The 20,525-nt window shown below is 37.0% G+C and overlaps 1 protein-coding gene across 5 annotated transcripts in view, besides 1 other annotated feature; it reads left to right on the top strand.

Annotated features, from left to right (window-relative positions):
- RNGTT (RNA guanylyltransferase and 5'-phosphatase) overlaps window positions 1–20,525 on the top strand; it is a 353,722-nt gene that overhangs the window by 120,681 nt on the left and 212,516 nt on the right. The window lies entirely within an intron of this gene.
- Window positions 15,195–16,042: an enhancer, noted in NCBI's record as "H3K27ac-H3K4me1 hESC enhancer chr6:89536615-89537462 (GRCh37/hg19 assembly coordinates)". NCBI's record gives its function as "activates a minimal SCP1, AML or CMV promoter by ChIP-STARR-seq in naive and primed H9 embryonic stem cells {active_cell/tissue: H9 hESC(naive and primed)}" and the evidence as "EXISTENCE:reporter gene assay evidence [ECO:0000049][PMID:30033119]".

Raw genomic sequence — 20,525 nt, 5'->3', positions numbered from 1 at the left:
ATGTCCAGCTAATTTTTTTGTATTTTTTTCTAGAGACGAGGTTTCCCTGTGTTGCCTAGGCTGGTCTCCAACTCCTGGGCTCAAGTGATCAGCCTGCCTTAGCCTCCCAAAGTGCTGGGATTACAGGTGTGAGCCACCATGCCTGGCTGAAAAGTTCATTTTTATGTAGTTAAATTTGGCAGAATATTTCTTGCATCTTCTGGTTTTCTGTCTTGCTTAAGAAGCCCTTCATCTCTAAAATGTTTTTATATTATGTTCTAATATTGCTATGATTTTGTCTGATGATTACATTTAGATGCTCTATTTTTACTCTTCCATTCCTTCAGGGAATTGTCTTCTGTTTGCATAGTCTATTTAGCATCCAGTTTCTTCTATTCACTGTCTCTTCTTCATGCCCTGTGTTCTCACATGAACATACTAATTCTGTTTATGCCTCATCTTCTCCATTTTCCTTTTCATTCTCTTTTTTTTCTTTGTTATTATTTTTAGTATCACTCATATGACTACTGTTATTACTGGTACTACTGTTATTGCTGCTGCATAGTTTGTTTTCAGTGGGATATTTACCAGATCTAGTGTTTAAAAGCAATTGTACCTTGGTATTTCTGTTTTTTTTAAGACATATAAACTGCATATTGACTATTTCCTAAGACTTTTCTCCATTTCTCATTTGTGCTTTTGGTGAGATTCTTATTTCTTTGTATATAAACTATACATGGTGTTTTCTGTGTGCCTGTTATGTGTTAGGATGTCTGATTTATTGAACCCACCTTTTAATTTGTTTTTCTTCTCTGACTTCCCGTTTTCCTTTCTTCCTTGTTTTATAATTTGTCTGCAGTTTTGAATATTCGTAAGACATTCTTGCTTTTGGTAGTGGTTAACTTTCTTAGCAAACCGATTGATGGTTCTAATTCATAGATATGTTAGTTGGCAGTCATAAAGCTCTGCTCTCCTTATCAGAATTTAAATGTATTTTGAGCCTGCATACCACATGGTCCCATGCTTGATTGTATACTGATAAACATTTGAAATGTTTTAGAAGTTTTAGAAGGGATAAGGGGGCACATTTGGCATTCAGAAGAAGGCCAGCTGGCTATTTCCTAAGAAGCCTGAAGGAATGTTACACCTTTTGTGAAATTTGTCATATTCCAGAATCAGGTTTGTAGCTTCACAGATTCAGAAACTTTGGGAGGCATTTGCTCTTTTTATATTTCTCTATTGTGAGTTGAATTTATAGTTCAGCTTTGATACTGGGTTATGAGTACTTTTACATTAAAATTGCACGTGGCATCCAAGAAGTTGCATTGTGGTGGGATTTTATTTTCTAAACCAGTGTTTTATATGCCTGGTTTAGGGCATTTGAAAAATTGGTGGCCATGAAGAACCATGGTCTGTTTACATTCAACCCAGGGAATAGTACCCAAATAATTTATATTTTTTGGGAGGAGGGTGGTTATGATAGAATTGTACAAAAATATAGCAACATATGCAATCATGTTTTAAACTCTTCACCTGCTCCTACTCTAGTCTGCTTAATTTGGTGTCAGTCTTTGGATATGATATTAGCTGTAAGTAATCCTAGCACTATTGAGTGGCTATCTTTTTCATTCAACAAATACAGAGTAATCATCCTACTTTTATTATGATTTTGTGTAACACCTGCTTGGCATGGGAATTTTGGTTGACCTCTGCCGCTATGATCTTTCGACTGTTCACTGCTTGCCTTTTGTGTCTGTTTTGGCAGCAGGGATATTAAGGGGGTACCTACAAGAGCCTGTGTACTACTGTGCCCTGTCCAATAGGTTGGGTAAAGATAAAGTTAATATTTAACCATCTGCTCTGTCCACGGTGGAAGTCTATTAACTGAAACTGTGTTCTCTTATGAGAACATTTTCTAAATTGTAAATACAGTATAAAAGTTGGGCAAAAGCCAGATTCCTTTGGTTTGTGTTCATTTTTAAAAAATGAATTTCACAGGTTGTGCTGTCATAATTCAGAGTTCAGCATTTAAGAAAATGTGTTTAGATAGTATAATTTCATTAGTCAAATCAGTACTGCTTAGAAATATTTGCTAATGTGTAATATCAGAACTATTTTTTAGGGATTTGAAACAATTATGTGGAACAACTTGTTATGTAGTTTTTCACTAGAAAGACAGTGTTCTTACTATGTTTTTCTTTATACTTAGCTTATGTAATTCCTTAAAATCATAGGATATTTCTTTTTTAAAAGCAATTCTTGCTAGGCGTGGTGGCTCACACCTGTAATCCTGGCACTTTGGAAGGCCAAGGCACTTGGATCGCTTGTGCCCAAGAGTTCGAGACCAGCCTGGGCAACATGGCAAAACCCTGTCTCTACAAAAAATACTAGAAAATTAGTCGGGCATGGTGGCACATGCCTGTAGTTCCAGCTATTCAGGAGGCGGAGGTGGAATGATTGCTTGAGCCTGGGAGTTTGAGGCTACAGTGAGCCAAGATTGTGCCACTGTACTTCAGCCTGGGTGGCGGAGTGGGACACTGTCTCGAAATAAATAAATAATAAAAGCAATTCTAATTTTTAGAATTTTGAATAGTCTCCTCTCCTCACTTTCAGTTCTTATTATTGTTTTTTGTCCTTAATGTCTCTTACTGAAGTATTTTCGGTTGTAGAATACAAAAGGAAAACACACTTTATAGCAGAATTGGCATAACATGTAAGACCTTAGTAACACCAGTTATAGGATAATAACTACAATTGACAGGTTATTGCTGTGGAGATTTTTATCTTTGCTAATGGGATGGTAAAATAGTGATATTACGAACCTTACAGCATTTTCAGGGAAGTATAGATCATTTATTTTAAGAATGGTAGCTTTTATGAAGTTTTAAACAAAATTTACAGCTATAAAACATGCATACTAATTTTGTAGAAAAATAATAGAATTTCATATGTGTATCTTTAAAATCTCAAAGATGATTCTGATTTTAGGAATTTATTAATATTGCTCTATAACTCTTTGTTTTGTTTAATTTGATCTGTTAAACACAATAAAGGGATAATTGTTCAGTTTTTAACTTTAATATACAGTCAGAATACAACATCCAAAATAGTAATAACAAGCTGTTTTTCAAATTGCGATTCTATTTACATTTCCAGTTTGAAGGCCAATTCAAAAAGAATTATTTGAACAGACTATATATGACTAACAAAACTTTAAAAACATGCAGTAAAAAGTTTCTCTGAAAGCTCCCCATCCATTTATCACCTTCTCAGTAACCATTGCTGTTAGCTTTTAGTGTATCCATCCAGAATTTCTTTAGCAATAAATAAACACATTTATTTATATTCTTACTATCTCCATAAAGTGATGATTTTTTTTTCTTTTTTTCGAAACAGAGTCTTGCTCTGTCATCCAGGCTAGAGTGCAGTGGTGCGATCATGGCTCCCTGCATCCTTGACCTCCCAGACTCAAACAATCCTCCCAACTCAGCCTCCTGAATAGCTGGAACTATAGACCGGAACCACCATTCCTAGCTAATTTTTTAATTTTTTGAGTGATGGGATTTTGCTGTATTGACCAGGCTGGTCTCAAATTCCTGGGCTCAAACGATCTGCCTGCCTCGGCCTCCCAAAGTGTTGAGATTACAGGCATGAGACACCATGACCAGCATGGTGATTTTTTAATACACTGTTCTGTCGTTTTCTTTTTTTCTTTAAAAAAAACTTGACAGTATCTCTTAAGTCTCTTCACTCCAGTATAGGTACACAGAGATTAGATCATCTTCATTTCTCTTTAACAGTTGCACAGATTTTCATTGTATCAGTATGCCATAACTTAGCTAACATCATAGTCATAGACATTTGGGTTATTTTTAGTCTGTTGACATGGTTTTTTTTTTTTTGCATATAGATATTCAGTTGTTTCTATACCAGTTGAAGAGACTATCCTTTTCTCATTGAATTACTTTTGCACATTCATAAAAAATGAAGTTTGTTGTGTATGTCTGGTTCTGTTTCTAGACTGTCTGTTCAGTTCTCTTGATCTATTTGGCTGTCTTTACTCAAGTACCATACTGTCTTGATTATTTTTGGTTGTTGTAAATCTTGAAATCAGATAGTATTAATGTTCCAACTTTGTTGTTCTTTTCTAAGTTGTTTTGGCTATTCTAGGCCTTTGCATTTTCATGTGAATTTTATAATTAGCTGTCAATTTCTACAAAAAAGCCTACTGGGATTTTGGTTGGAATTGTAATGAATATATAGGTCAATTTTGGGGAAGAACTAACATCATAACAATGCCAAGTTTTCTAGTTCATCAACCTGGCATATATTTTCTTTTATGTAGGTCTTCTTTATTGTCTCTCAGCAATTTTTGTAGTTTTAAGCATGAGATTTTGCTCATCTTTTTTCAGATTTATTTCATACTTTTTGATATTGTCATAAAAGTCTTTGTAAAATTTCCGTTTCTGACTATTGGTAGTATATAGAAATATACTTTTTTCCCCAAAGGAGTACGTTGATTTTTGTATTTTGATGTTTTATCTTACAGTCTTGCTAAACTCAATTATTATACTAATAATTTTTTGTGAATTTCATCAAAATTATTACATAGACAACTATATAAGTGAAAAAGGTGCTACTTTTCCCTTTCCAACTTGGATGCTTTTAATTTTATTCTCCTGCCTTACTGCACTGACTAGAATCTATTGTTTAATGTTGTATGGAAGCAGTGAGAGTGAACAGCCTTGTCTTCTTCCACATCTATAGGGAAGGAAAATTTTGTTTTTAACTATTAAATATGATGTTAGCTATAGGACTCTAGGATAGATGCCTTTTATACATGGTTAGGTTTTAAACTTGAAAGCTGATAATTTTGACATACAATCTTATTTATCGAACTCTCTTACTTTTGTTATTGCTTGCAATAATTTTGCAATTTTTTTAGGTATTCATATTAAGTGTAAATAGTGATATTTTTACTTATTGGATTTTTCATACATTAACTTTTGTCTAGTTTGATTATACATAAATACAGTTTTAAATTGTGGCAGTAGTTATGGGGATTCTTTTTTCCTGATTTGAGTGGGAATGCTTCTGGTGTTTCTTCAGAGTATGATATACTGCCTTTAATTCTGAGATCTGTTTTATCAGGTGAAACAAGTATGCGTTTGTTTTATTTTTAACCAAGAATGGGTGTTCAGTTTGGTCAAATGGCTTTTCATCTACTATAGATCGAATACTATTTTTTTTTCTGTTTAGATCTGTTTATCTCAGGAATTATATGAAAATATTTCCTGATGTTGAATCATTCTCTCATTCCTGGGATAAGCCCTACTTTGTCTTAATATATTATTTTAAAAATTGTACTGCCCAGTTTTTTTTTCTAACTTTTTTAAAGGATTTTTGCATTGATGTTTATAAATAATCTTGATATGTTGTAAATCTTTGGAAACTTTTTCATCAGTGGTACACTCTGTTATACTCTGTTTTCATCAGTGTAATAAAAAAACTTGGTTTAAAAAAATATGTTCTAGAGCTTTTTTTTGTTGTTGTTGTTGTTTTAAGACAGGGCCTTGCTCTGGTACCCAGGCTGGAGTGCAGTGACACAATTATAGCTCACTACAGCCTTGAACTCCTGGGCTCAAGTGATCCTCCTGCCTCAGCCTCCCGAGTAGCTGGGACTACAGGCACGTGCCACCACACTCAGCTAATTTTAAAATTTTTTGTGGAGATAGTGCCTCTCAGTATGTTTGACCAGGCTGGTCTTGAACTCTTAGGCTCAAGGCTGTGCTCTGGCCTTGGCTTCCCGAAGTGTTGGGATTACACGGTAAGCCACCATGCCCGGCCAGAGCAGTTTTAATAAAAACATTGGAATTACCTGCTTTTTTAGGTTTTTGAGGAATTCCTCCACGGAATTATTTGGATTGTAGTGCTTTGGGTTTGGGTTAATATCTTTTTCACTTCCTATGTGAAAATTGGTACATTTAAATTTTTCTCTCCCTTTGAGTGCAATATCCATTTATTAAAATACCTGAAGTTTCTTCTTTCTTTTTTTTGGGGGGTATTTTTTTGCACTTGATCTTAGCCAAGAAGTTGAGAACTGATTTTTAAAAATGTGATAGCTATTTAATTTTTTTCTCCTCCCATGAACTTTTAGATTAATTTTTTATTTCTGCTCTTTTCCTAAGCCAAGCCTAGTTCTGTTTTTATTTTATTTTAGAGATAGGATCTTGTTCTGTCACCTAGTGGAGTGGAGTGGTTTGATGACAACTCACTGCAGCCTTGACTTCCTTGGCTTCAGCAATCATCCCGCCTTAGCCTCCTGAGTAGCTGGGACTATAAGCACGTGTTATCATGCCCGGCTAATTTTTGTATCTTTTGTAGAGATGGGGTTTCACCGTGTTCCCCTGGCTGGTCTTGAACTCCCGAGCTCAAGCAGTCTGCCCACCTTGACCTCCCAAAGTGATGGGATTACAAGCGTGAGCCACCACAGCTGGCAAATATCTGATAATTTATTTGTCATGTTAGTAAGGGTTTTGCGGTTTTGGTTTATTTTTTCATCTTTCCCAGGATTGTGAGAGTTTTAAAATTTCTAGTGGAAGAGTCTTTATTTTCTGAGTTTATTCTTAATTTAAAAATTTTTATTATAGTGACATGAGAGAATATTATCTGCACTTTTCTACTTTTTGGAATTTATTATAAAGTGTCATCAATTATATATATATATAAATCTCATTCATATGTCATTTCAGAGGGAAATTTAAGAAAATCATATAATGCATACTAAAGAGAATTCATACTTTCATATGGTGAACCTAAAGATTTATTGTCCCAGATAACTTCCTTTGGAGTAGTAAATCATATATATATATGTAAATCTTATATATACATGTAAATCTTATATATATATATATATGTAAATCTTATATATATATGTGTGTGTGTGTGTGTGTGTGTGTGTGTGTGTGTGTGTGTGTGTGTGTTTTTAATAGAGACAGAGTCTTGCTGTATTGCCCAGGCTGGTCTCAAACTCATGGGCTCAAGCAATTCTTTCACCTCAGTGTCCCAAGTAGCTGAGCTGCAGGCGTATACCACTGTGCCTGGCTAATTATAATACTTTCTAAAACTTTCTGGTACAGATCTATCACCTTAAAATTCTGGTAGTTACTGACTTTTTGTCCTGCTCTGAAGTTTAATGTTTTTATACGATGTTTTTCATAGGCATTTTAGTAGATGTTTTGGAAAGTTTGTACCAAATCTGCTAGACAGACAATATTTTAAACTACAAAGCTCTGTTATTACTTGCTTAGTCTGAGAAGCTGCTTTTTATGTTTCATAATTATTTTCCCCTTATTTTCAGGGAATAGGTTATCTGTGTATATAAGTAGATGGGAAAGACCACTCTAAAATTGCTCATTTGTGGAGTGATAACATTTCCTGATATATTCTTGTCTAATTGCCTATTTTTCTGCCCAATTGGCAAAAATAATAATGCATTCTCTTCTTTGACAAATTTCTCATGTTTACTTTTCCTGTTGAAATAGTATGTTGTCTTTCTTTATTTTCTGCTTGTCTGTGTCTGGAACTCTGTACATTTCCCTTAGAGGGAGTCAGTTGTGTATAGTTAGGATCTAGTGAAAGAACATGCAAAGAATCACTCTTGAGTGATTTTAGGAAATTGTGCTTGATTAAAAAAAATAAGCAAGTCCCTGTCCCCTTTCCCCCATTTCAAAAGCTAGAATTAAAAAAGAAAACAAAAGAACAGATAATCTCTTGAAGTTCCTAGTGGCAAAGCTTTTCTCTGCTTGGAGTCATTTTACTTTCTACTGTCTAATTAGACTAGAAAAATTTTATGTGGAAAATATTTTTAAATAATTTGCTTATTGCTGTTTCAAAAGTAAAATGTTTGCTTTATAGGATGAAAGAGTAGTAAATGTTAAGATCTCCTTTCTAATAACTGTTGAGAGTATTAAATAGACAATTACAAAGGTTATTCTTTTACTACATTTAATTTTTCAAGAACACATCTACTTTTAAAATAATTTTATTAATATTAGTTATTTGCATGCTTCGTTAGGCAGGAATTTAAATTTTATGTTTATGTATTTCATTTGGCATTCAGATTTATTTTCTATGTATTGCTTTTCTTTTCTTTATTTTCTTGTTTATCACTAAATATAAATTTATAAGTTCTTAAGTGTCTGTTCAAGACTAGTAGTTCATAAAACCATAAGGCTTGTTATTTTTATATCACTGTTCTATGACTGTATCAGTGTTGTATTGTTTGTATCATAGTAAAAGAAACAGAACCTTTGAGAGTTTGTTATGGCAACTGTGGTTGAAGAGAAGAAAGAATTTTTGCATAAACATGAAGATCTATTGTTCACACATAGAGATTTTCAGTGATTATGCCTAATTTTTAATGAAATTACAGATATAATGGTGCAACTGCATTTTGATTTGAAAGCAGATGCAAGATAAAATGAGGATGACCATTCCTTATCATGTTTGTGGTGTTCAGTTTTGCATTATCTAGTCTATTAATATGTCATTCATTATTGATTATTGAATATGGCCTGATGGATCCTTTCAATCTCATTCATATGTCATTTCAGAGGGAAATTTAAGAAAATCATATAACGCATACTAAAGAGAATTCATACTTTCATACGGTGAACGTAAAGATTTATTGTCCCAGATAACTTCTTTTGGAGTAGTAAATCTTATTCATTGACACATGAAGAAATAATTGTATCTCATGCCATATATATTTGAAATATTTCTATGAAAGATTTTTAATTGTAACATGGAGAATTTTCTATGTTTGCTAAATATGAGAGCTAATTTTTTTTATAATTAACATTCAAAAAAATACCTATTTGTAGATTCAGAGGAAAATGATGATTATTATTTTATTTTATTTTTTATTCTTTTTTTTGAGACGAAGTCTCGCTCTGTCGCCTAGGCCAGAGTGCATTGGTGCTATCTCGGCTCACTGCAACTTCTGCCTCCTGGGTTCAAGCGATTCTCCTGCCTCAGCCTCCTGAATAGTTAGATATCAGGTGTGCGCCACCACACCCGGCTAATTTTTGTCTTTTTAGTAGAGATGGGGTTTCACCATATTGGCCAGGCTGGTCTCAAACTCCTGACCTCGTGATCTGCCTGCCTCGGCCTCCCAAAGTGCTGGGATTACAGGTGTGAGCCACCATGCTCTGTCAAAAGATGTTATTGGCCTCCAAAATAATTAAGAGGCAGTTACTTTGCCTAAATCTGATCAATTAATTGTTCTGTGATTGTGAATTTGCTGCAGGTTAACAAAGCCATAGGATTGACATAGATCACATGACTGTATTCACATTCAGCTGAATACTTTTCTAAAAATTATGCTTTAAGTTCTGGGATACATGTGCAGAACATGTAGGTTTGTTACATAGATGTGTTACACACATGTGCCATGGTGGTTTGTTGCACCCATCAACCCGTCATCTACATTAGGTATTTCTCCTAATGCTATCCCTCCCATAGCCCCCAACCCCCAACAGGACCCCATGTGTGATGTTCCCCTCCCTGTGTCCATGTGTTCTCATTGTTCAACTCCCACTTATGAGTTGAAGATGCAGTGTTTGGTTTTCTGTTTCTGTGCTAGTTTGCTGAGAATGATGGTTTTCAGCTTCATCCATGTCCCTGAAAAGGACATGAACTCATCCTTTTTTATGGCTGCATAGTATTCCATGGTGTCTATGTGCCACATTTTCTTTATCCAGTCTATCGTTGATGGGCATTTGGGTTGGTTCCAAGTCTTTGCTATTGTGAATAGTGCTGCAATAAACATACATGTGCATGTGTCTTTTAGTAGAATGATTTATACTCCTTTGGTTATATACCCAGTAATGGGATGGCTGGGTCAAATGGTATTTATGGTTCCAGATCCTTGAGGAATCGCCACACTGTCTTCCACAATGATGGAACTAATTTACACTCCCACCAACAGTGTAAAAGCGTTCCTATTTCTCCATATCCTCTCCAGCATCTGTTGTTTCCTGACTTTTTAATGATCACCATTGTAACTGGCATGAGATGGTATCTCATTGTGGTTTTGATTTGCATTTCTCTAATGACCAGTGATGATGAGCATTTTTTCATATGTTTCTTGGCTGCATACATGTCTTCTTTTGAGAAGTGTCTGTTCATATCCTTTGCCCACTTTTTGATGGGGTTGTTTTTTCTTGTAAATTTAAGTTACTTGTAGATTCTGGATATTAGCCCTTTGTCAGACGGATAGATTGTAAAAATTTTCTCCATTCTCTAGATTTCCTCTTCATTCTGATGATAATTTCTTTTGCTGTGCACAAGCTCTTTAGTTTAATTAGATCCCACTTGTCAATTTTGGCTTTTATTTCCATTGCTTTTGGTGTTTTAGTCATGAAGTCTTTGCCTATGCCTATGTCCTGAATGGTATTGCCTAGGTTTTCTTACAGGGTTTTTATGGGTTTAGGTCTTATGTTTAAGTCTTTAATTCATCTTGAGTTAATTTTTGTATAAGGAATGGGTCCAGTTTCAGTTTTCTGCATATTGCTAGCCAGTTTTCCCAACACCATTTGTTAAATAGGGAATCCTTTCCCCATTTCTTGTTTTTGTCAGGTTTGTCAAAGATCAGATGGTTGTAGATGTGTGGCGTTTTTTCTGAGGCCTCTGTTCTGTTCCATTGGTCTATATATCTGTTTTGGTACCAGTACCATGCTGTTTTGGTTACTGTAGCCTTGTAGTGTAGTTTTGAGGTCAGGTAGCATGATGCCTCCAGCTTTGTTCTTTTTGCTTAGGATTGTCTTGGCTATATGGGCTCATTTTTGGTTCCATATGAAATGTAAAGTAGTTTTTTCCAATTCTGTGAAGAAAGTCAATGGTAGTTTGATGGGGATAGCATTGAATCTATAAATTACTTTGGGCTATATGGCCATTTTCACGATATTGATTCTTCCTATCTGTGAGCATGGAATATTTTCCCATTTGTTTGTGTCCTCTCTTATTTCCTTGAGCAGTGGTTTGTAGTTCTCCTTGAAGAGGTCATTCACATCCCTTGTAAGTTGTATTCCTAGGTATTTTATTCTCTTTGTAGCAATTGTGAATGGGAATTCACTCATGACTTGGCTCTCTGTTTGTCTGTTACTGGTGTATGAGAATGCTTGTGATTTTTGTGCATCGATTTTGTATCCTGAGACTTTGCTGAAGTTGCTTATCAGCTTAAGTTGATTTGGGGCTGAGACGGTGGAGTTTTCTAAATATGCAATCATGTCATCTGCAGACAGAAACAATTTGACTTCCAGTCTTCTTATTTGAATACACTTTATTTCTTTCTCTTGCCTGATTGCCCTGTCCAGAACTTCAATACTATGTTGAATAGGAATGGTAAGAGAGGGCATCCTTGCCTTGTGCTGGTTTTCAAAGGGAATGCTTCCAGCTTTTGCCCGTGTAGTATGATATTGGCTGTGGGTTTGTCATAAATAGCTCTTATTATTTTGAGATAAGTTCCATCAGTACCTAGTCTATTGAGAGGTTTTAGCATGAAGAGGTGTTGAATTTTATCGAAGGCCTTTTCTGCATTTATTGAGATAATCATGTGGTTTTTGTCATTGGTTCTGTTTATGTGATGGATTACATTTATTGATTTGCGTATGTTGAACCAGCCTTGCATCCCAGGGACTAATCCGACTTGATCGTGGTGGATAAGTTTTTTGATGTGCTGCTGGATTTGGTTTGCCAGTATTTTATTGGGGATTTTTGCATCTGTGTTCATCAGGGATATTGGCCCTGAAATTCTCTTTTTTTGTTGTGTCTCTGCCAGTTTTTGGTATCAGGATGATGCTGGCCTCATAAAATGAGTTAGGTTGGAGCCCCTCTTTTTCTGTTGTTTGGAATAGTTTCAGAAGGAATGGTACCAGCTCCTCTTTGTACCTTTGGTAGAATTCAGCTGTGAATCTGTCCGGTCCTGGGCTGTTTTTGGTTGGTAGGCTATTAATTACTGCCTCAGTTTCAGAACTTATTATTGGTCTATTCAGGGATTTGACTTCTTCCTGGTTTAGTCTTGGGAGAGTGTATGTGTCGAGGAATTTATCCATTTCTTCTAGATTTTCTAGTTTATTTGCATAGAGGTGTTTATAGTATTCTCTGATGGTAGTTTGTATTTCTGTGGGATTGGTGGTGATATCTCCTTTTTCATTTTTTTATTGTGTCTATTTGATTCTTCTCACTTTTCTTCTTTATTAGTCTGGCTAGTGGTCTATCTATTTTGTTAATATTTTCAAAAAACCAGCTCCTGGATTCACTGACTTTTTTTGAAGGGTTTTTTTTTTGTGTCTCTCTCTCTCTCCTTCAGTTCTGCTCTGGTCTTAGTTACTTCTTGTCTTCTGCTAGCTTTTGAATTTGTTTGCTCTTACTTCTCTGTTTCTTTTAATTGTGATGTTAGGGTGTTGATTTAAGATCTTTCCCGCTTTCTCCTGTGTGCATTTAGTGCTATAAATTTCCCTCTAAACACTGCTGTAGCTGTGTCCCAAAGATTCTGGTACGTTGTGTCTTTGTTCTCATTGGTTTCAAATAACTTCTTTATTTCTGCCTTAATTTCATTATTTCATTATTTATTTCTTCCTTAATTAACTTCTTTATTTCTGCCAGTAGTCATTCAGGAGCAGGTTGTTCAGTTTCCATGTAGTTGTGCGGTTTTTGAGTGAGTTTCTTAATCCTGAGTTCTAATTTGATTGCACTGTGGTCTGAGAGACTGTTATGATTTCTGTTCTTTTGCATTTGCTGAGGAGTGTTTTACTTCCAATTATGTGCTCAATTTTAGAATAAGTGTGATGTGGTGCTGAGAAGAACGTACATTATGTTGATTTTGCTTGGAGAGTTCTGTAGATGTCTATTAGGTCTGCTTGGTCCACAGTTTGAGTTCATGTCCTGAATATCCTTGTCAATTTCCTGTCTCGTTGATCTGTCTAATATTGACAGTGGGGTGTTAAAAGTCTCCCACTATTATTGTGTGGGAGTCTAAGTCTCTTTGTAGGCCTCTAAGAACTTACTTTATGAATCTGGGTGCTCCTGTATTGGGTGCATATATATTTAAGATAGTTACCTCTTCTTGTTGCATTGATCCCTTTACCATTATGTAATGCCCTTCTTTGTCTCTTTTGATCTTTGTTGGTTTAAAGTCTGTTTTATCAGAGACTAGGATTGCAACCCCTGGTTTTTTTTTTTTTTTTTTTTTTTGCTTTCCATTTGCTTGGTAAATCATCCCTTTATTTTGAGCCTATGTGTGTCTTTGCACACACATAGGAGCTGGGTCTCCTGAATACAGCACACTGATGGGTCTTGACTCTTTATCCAATTTGCCAGTCTGTGTCTTTTATTTGGGGCATTTAGCCCATTTACATTTAAGGTTAATATTGTTGTGTATGAATTTGATTCTGTCATTATGATGCTAGCTGGTTATTTTGCCCATTAGTTGATGCAGTTTCTTCATAGTGTCGATGGTCTTTACAATTTGGTATGTTTTTGCAGTGGTTGATACTGGTTTTTTCCTTCCGTATTTGGTGCTTCCTTCAGGAGCTCTTTTAGGGCAGCCCTGGTGGTGACAAAATCTCTCAGCATTTGCTTGTCTGTAAAGGATTTTATTTCTCCTTCGCTTATGAAGCTTAGTTGGCTGGATATGAAATTCTGGGTTGAAAATTCTTTCCTTTAAGAATGTTGAATCTCTCCTCTGGCTTGTAGGGTTTCTGCAAAGAGATCTGCTGTTAGTCTGATGGGCTTCCCTTTGTGGGTAACCCGACCTTTCTCTCTGGCTGCCCTTAACATTTTTTCCTTCATTTCAGCCTTGGTGAATCTGATGATTATATGTCTTGGGGTTGCTCTTCTCGAGGAGTGTCTTTGTGATGTTCTCTGTAATTCCTGAATTTGATTGTTGGCCTATCTTGCTAGGTTGGGGAAGTCCTCCTGGATAATATCCTGAAGAGGGTTTCCATCTTGGTTCCATTCTCCCTGTCACTTTCAGGTACACCAATCAAACATAGGTTTGGTCTTTTCACATAGTCCCATATTTCTTGGAGGCTTCATTAGTTCCTTTTCATTCTTTCTTCTCTAATCTTGTCTTCAGGCTTCATTTCATTAAGTTGATCTTCAATCTCTGATATCCTTTCTTCTGCTTGATAGATTCGGCTGTTGATATTTGTGTATGCTTCACGAAGTTCTCATGCTGTGTTTTTCAGCTTTCTCAGGTCATGTATGTTCTCTAAACTGGTTATTCTAGTTAGCAATTCCTCTAACCTTTTTTCAAGGTTCTCAGATTCGCATTGGGTTAGAACATGCTTCTTTAGCTCGGAGGAGTTTGTTATTACCCACCTTCTGAAGCCTACTTCTGTCAATTCCTCAAACTCATTCTCCATCCAGTTTTGTTCCCTTGCTGATGAGGAGTTGTGATCCTTTGGAGGAGAAGAGGCATTCTGGCTTTTGGAATTTTCAGCCCTTTTGGGCTGGTTTTTCCTCATCTTTGTGCATTTATCTACCTTTGGTCTTTGATGTTGGTGACCTTCGGATGGGGTTTCTGAGTGGCTGTCCTTTTGTTGATGTTGATGCTATTCCTTTCTGTTTGTTAGTTTTCCTTCTAACAGTCAGGCCCCTCTTCTGCAGCTCTGCTGGAGTTTGCTGGGGGTCCAGTCCAGACCCTGTTTGCCTGGGTATCACCAGCAGAGGCTACAGAACAGCAAAGATTTCTGCCTGTTCTTCCTCCGGAAGCTTTGTCCTAGATGGGCACCCACCAGATGCCAGCCAGAGCTCCCCTGTATGAGGTGTCTGTTGACCCCTGCTGGGAGGTCTCTCCCAGTCAGTAGGCACTGGGGTCAGGGACCCAATTGAGGAGGCCATCTGTCCCTTAGCAGAGCTGGAGTGCTGTGCTGGAGATCCGCTGCTCTCTTCAGAGCCAGTAGTAGGCAGGAACGTTTAAGTCTGCTGAAGTTGTGCCTATAGCTGCCCCTTCCCCCAGGTACTCTGTCCCAGGGAGATGGGAGTTTTATCTATAAGCCCATGACTGGGGCTGCTGCCTTTCTTTCAGACACCCTGCCCAGGGAGGAGGAATCTAGAGAGGCAGTCCGGCTACAGCAGTTTGTGGAGCTGAGGTGGGGTCTGCCCAGTTGGAACTTCCTGGAGGCTTTGTTTACACTGGGAGGGGAAAACCACCTACTCACGCCTTGGTAATGGCAGACGCCCCTCCCCCCACCAAGCTCCAGCATCCCAGGTTGACTTCAGACTGCTGTACTGCCAGTGAGAATTTCAAGCCAGTGGATCTTAGTTTGCTGGGCTCCATGGGGGTGGGATTTGCTGATCTAGACCACTTGGCTCCCTGGCTTCAGCCGCCTTTCCAGGGGAGTGAACAGTTCTGTCTTGCTGGTGTTCCAGGTGCCTCTGGAGTATGAAAATAAAACTCCTGCAGCTAGCTCGGTGTCTGCCCAAACGGCCACCTAGTTTTGTGCTTGAAACCCAGGGCCCTGGTGGCGTAGGCATCCGAGGGAATCTACCGGTCTGCAGGTTGCAAAGACTGTGGGAAGAGCGTAGTATCTGGGCCTGAGTGCACTGTCCCTCATGGCACAGTCCGTCATGGCTTCCCTTGGCTAGGGGAGAGAGTGCCCAAACCCCTTGTGCTTCCCAGGTGAGGTGATGCCCCACCCTGCTTCAGCTCACCCTCTATGGGCTGCACCCACTGTCTAACCAATCCCAACGAGATGAGCCAGGTACTTCAGTTAGAAATGCAGAAATCACCGCCTTCTGCATTGATCTCGCTGGGAGCTGCAGACTGGAGCTGTACCTATTTGGCCATCTTGCCAGGCCTCTGAATACTTTTTTTTTTAAAGTGTGTAACTCAACAATGTGAGCCACTACTTTGGCATTGTCTGACTTAGTAGGTTTTTTAGAATTTTAAAGTGAAATATGGCAGTTAAATAATAGCGTCTGCCCTTTCCACTTGCATAGAAGCTTCTGTTGGTCATTGTTGAAATGATGGAGGTATTTAGTTCCAGCACATTAATTTTAAAGTAATTTTTATAGTATATTATATATATATATATACACACACACATATATATATATATATATATACACACACATATATATATATATATATTTTTTTTTTTTCTTTTGAGACAGGGTTTTGCTCTTGTTGCCCAGGCTGGAGTGGAATGGTGTGATATTGGCTCATCGCAACCTCTGCCTCCCAGGTTCAAATGATTCTCCTTCCTCAGCCTCCCAAGTAGTTGAGATTACAGGCATGTGCCACCATGCCTGGCTAATTTTGTATTTTTATTAGAGATGGGGTTTCTCCATGTTGGCCAGGCTAGTCTTGAACTTCCGGCCTCAGGTGATCTGCCCATCTTGTCCTCCCAAAGTGCTGGGATTACAGGTGTAAGCCACCGCACCTGGCCGATGATTTTTATACTTCGAGCAGAGCCAGTCTTACTAAAAGTAAAATATAGAAAACTTGTGTGTTATTATTGAATTATTGCAATAAAATTTTAAAATACTTTGAGAAATTACTTCAGTGAAGCCGTTAAACTCGTAGGTTTAAGTTAACTTCTCTAAGGCATGAGTGTGAAGACAAATGCATGAAAACAAACTGTAAATCACAGATATGATTCTAGTACACAATTGGTGATGGTGTTGAAGAAGGGTGTCAGACAACTCTGTTGTTTATATGGAACCAGATTTTCTGTACCTTGTTTACCAAATAAGATGCTATCGGTTGTAAACCATGCCCCCTGCCCACCTTTTTCTTTTCATACCTTTGGAAATCTCTTACCCAGTGGTACATGAAATCAACTGTGATTTGTCATTGTAAGATAAGTGCTGTTTTCAGACATGTGAACGTGTGGGCTGTGAAATGGGGAAGTATATATTTCCCAAAAGAGGGAAGAACTCTATATTTTCTATGCTAATTGTAAAATTGGTTTGAATGAACCAGGCATTTGAATAGATTAGAAAGAGATCAGCATCAATTTGTTTGTGTTCTACCATTGTGCCATCAGTCTTGCCTTACTTTGTTGGACACGGGTGCAGAGTGAGGAGAAGGATAGTGGAAAATGCAAACAATTTATATGAACATAAGGAATATGGCAACTATAAGGCATACATTTAAAAATAATGGTCATAATCAGAGCAATTTTGTATATTAGTGATAGCTGAAAAGCTCTAATAGTGAACTATTTCAGTAGAAGACCAATAGAACACACTGTGCTTTGCAGTGGAAGAAACAGTACCACTGTATAACAAAGTTTGGTTGTAGACACAAAACAAAGGCAAGGTTTACATGTATTCAAATAAACATTTTTAAAAAAATATATGTATGTCAAACATATACACACTGATTTGGAAAATAGGCTGTATTTATTTAAAAGTAATGGTTTTCAAGTTAGTATCTCTGATTAGATGTTTAGAATGCTACCAAAATTTTGTTACTAATGTTTCGATGAATATCTCTTTAGATAACTTAGTGAAAGTTCATGAGTTATTTCCTTAGGATAAATTCTAAAAATGGAATCTATGCCACCAAATATTCTTGAAAGTTTGTGCTACTGTGTACCTCCACCCATGTGGTAGGCAGAATTTTAAGGTGAACCCCAATGCCTGTTGTGTAACCCCCTCCTCTTCAGTGTGGGTGGGATCTGTAGCTTGCTTCTAACCAACAGATGGCAAATGTGATGGGATATTGTGTCAATTATTAATTTATATTCTTAGTTCTCAGTGTACCCTTCAGTGTATGCTCTATGATAACTGACAGACTTCCTTTAAGCATTTTCACTTAAGAATTTTGGCATTTTGTAAATAATTTTTGGTTATTCTTTTCCTTTCATTTTTACTTACATGTTTTTTAGAAAACAGACAGAAGGCTGGGTGTGGTGGCTCACACCTGTAATCCCAGCTCTTTGGGAGGCCGAGGTGGGAGGATCACTTGAGGTCAGGAGTTTGAGACCAGCCTGGCCAACGTGGTGAAACCCCGTCTTTACTAAAAATACAAAAATTAGCTGGGCGTGGTGGTGGACGCCTATAATCCCAGCTACTCTGGAGGCAGAGGTAGGAGAATCTCTTGGACCCAGGTTGCAGTGAGCCGAGATCGCACCACTGCATTCCAGCCTGAATGACAGAGTAAGACGTCTCCAAAAAGAAAAAAAAAAAAAAAAAGAAAACAAACGTGTTTTCAATTTATTGCAGGGTCCTTTTTGTTGGCGTCTTGTTTATATGTGTTTTCTTTCAAAGCAGACCTGTCCAACGGAACTTTCTATAAGATGAAAATGTTCTGTAATCTTTGCTATGTACTACAGTGCCTCCTAGCCAAACATGGTTATTGAGTAGTGCTTGAATTGTGGCTAGTGCAGCTGAGGGAACTAGATTTTTAATGTCATTTAATTTAAATTTTAGTAGCCACATGTGGCCATTGAATAGCACAGTTTTAATATATAGTTGTGTGCCACTTAACAGTGTTTTGGTCAACTTTGGACTGCATATATAATGGTGGTCCCATAAGGTTATAACAAAGTTGCCCTATACAGGTGTACCATTTTTTATCTTTTATACATAAATACTTACCAGTGTGTTAGAGTTGCCTACGGTATTCAGTACAGAGTATAGTTACATGCTGTACAGGTTTGTAGCCTAGGAGCAATAGGCTGTATATTGTATAGCCTAGTGTATAGTTGGCTGGACCATCTAGGTTTGTGTAAGAGCAGTCGGTGATGTTTACACAATGACAGAATCACCCAACAATGCATTTTTTTCAGAAGACACTCCTGTTGTTAAATGATGCATAACTGTATTTTTAAATTTAATTTGCTGGTATGTAGGATTTTTGTGCCTATATCATAGATTCTTTTTACATTTAAAGCAAAATAAAACTTATCTTGATGTATACCTGTATGATCTAGTTCCTGCCCACCTTGCTGCTAATTTTCTATGATTTTCTTTTACAGTTACTGTTCACTAGTGTTTTTATTTCTTGTATTTCCACATATGATATTTTATAGTTCATGTTAAGACATTTGCACTCTGGAACTGTGCTTAGCTTTTATAGCTGCCTCTTTCTAGTTCTCAGCTAAATCTCAACTCTTTTGTTAGCCTGATCTTTGATTTTTTTTCCAACAACATTTTATTTAGAAAAAATTTAAATATACAGAAAAGTTGAAAGAATTTTATTGTGAACACCCATGAAGGCCTAGAGTCTATATTTTCCTGTACCAGCTCTAACACATATTAATTCATCTATTTCTCTATCCATCCATTAGTCTATTTTTTGGGGTGAATTTCAGAGTAAATTGTAATCTTCCATTTATTTTCAGTTTTATTTTTTACTGGGTTTATCTCTTTATTTTGTTGGAGAAGTTCTTTACATATCTTGGATATTGGTCTTTTGTCAGATATATTTTTCTGATATATTCTCCCACTTTGTAATTTGCTGTTTTATTTTCTTAACAGAGGCTTTTTTTTTTTCTTTTTTCCTTGGATGGCATTTTGCTCTTGTTGCTCAGGCTGGAGTGCAATGGTGCGATCTTGACTCACTGCAACCTCAGCCTCCCGAGTTCAAGAGATTCTCCTGTCTCAGCCTCCCAAGTAGCTGGGATTACTTACAGGCACGTGGCACCACGCCCAGCTAATTTTTTGTATTTTTAGTAGAGACGGGGTTTCACCATGTTGTTCAGTCAGGCTGGTCTCGAACTCCTGACCTTAGGTTACCCACCTGCCTCGGCCTCCCAAAGTGCTGGGATTACAGGCGTGAGGCACCATGCCCAGCCAATTTTCTTAACAGAGGCCTTTGATAGCAGAAGTTATTAATTCACTCGTTTGATTTATGAATTATTTTTCTTTTATGGATAGTGCTTTCTTGTGTCTTGCGTAAAGAAACCTTTGCTTGCCTAACCCAAGGTCAGAAATATGTTCTCCTATGTTTTATTCTGAGAGCCTGTGGCTTAGTTTTTATGTTTGGGTGTATTATCTGTCTCAAATTAATGTTTCTGTTAGTAATGTGGAGTAGGAATTGAGATTCATATCACCCTCCCCGCTTGTTATTCTAGCACCATTTGTTGAAAAGACTTCTTTTCCTGGACACCTTTGTCAAAAATTAAATCACTGTATTATAAATGTTGATGTATTTGTTGGTTGATCACCTGTTTTTAATTGCCATCCTATCAATGTTCACTCTTTTTATGTGATACAGACACACTTTCTGATAAAATAATGTGATAGATTTGCCACTATTGCAAATGCCTGGAACGACGGAATGGGTGATAGAGGTTGGTCTGTAGTTGACAGTAGATGGAGAATGATTTTGTAGTTGTCTGTTTTTATTATGTAAAATGAATCAGGGGATTTATACCTATTTTTCTATGACAGAGAATAGTTTATTTACACTGTAGTGAATTGTTCTGTGAAAGCCTGAATGAACTCAGTCCTAAAATAACTTTTAGGATATTTTTAAGGAGGAAAGTCTTTGAAAAACATAGTTAGCAACTTTTAACATTTTTATG

This window comes from Homo sapiens, chromosome 6 (assembly GCF_000001405.40).
Source record: "Homo sapiens chromosome 6, GRCh38.p14 Primary Assembly".
Taxonomy (NCBI): domain Eukaryota; kingdom Metazoa; phylum Chordata; class Mammalia; order Primates; family Hominidae; genus Homo; species Homo sapiens.
Note: the sequence above shows the minus strand (reverse complement) of the source record. Positions and strands in the feature narration are given on the sequence as shown.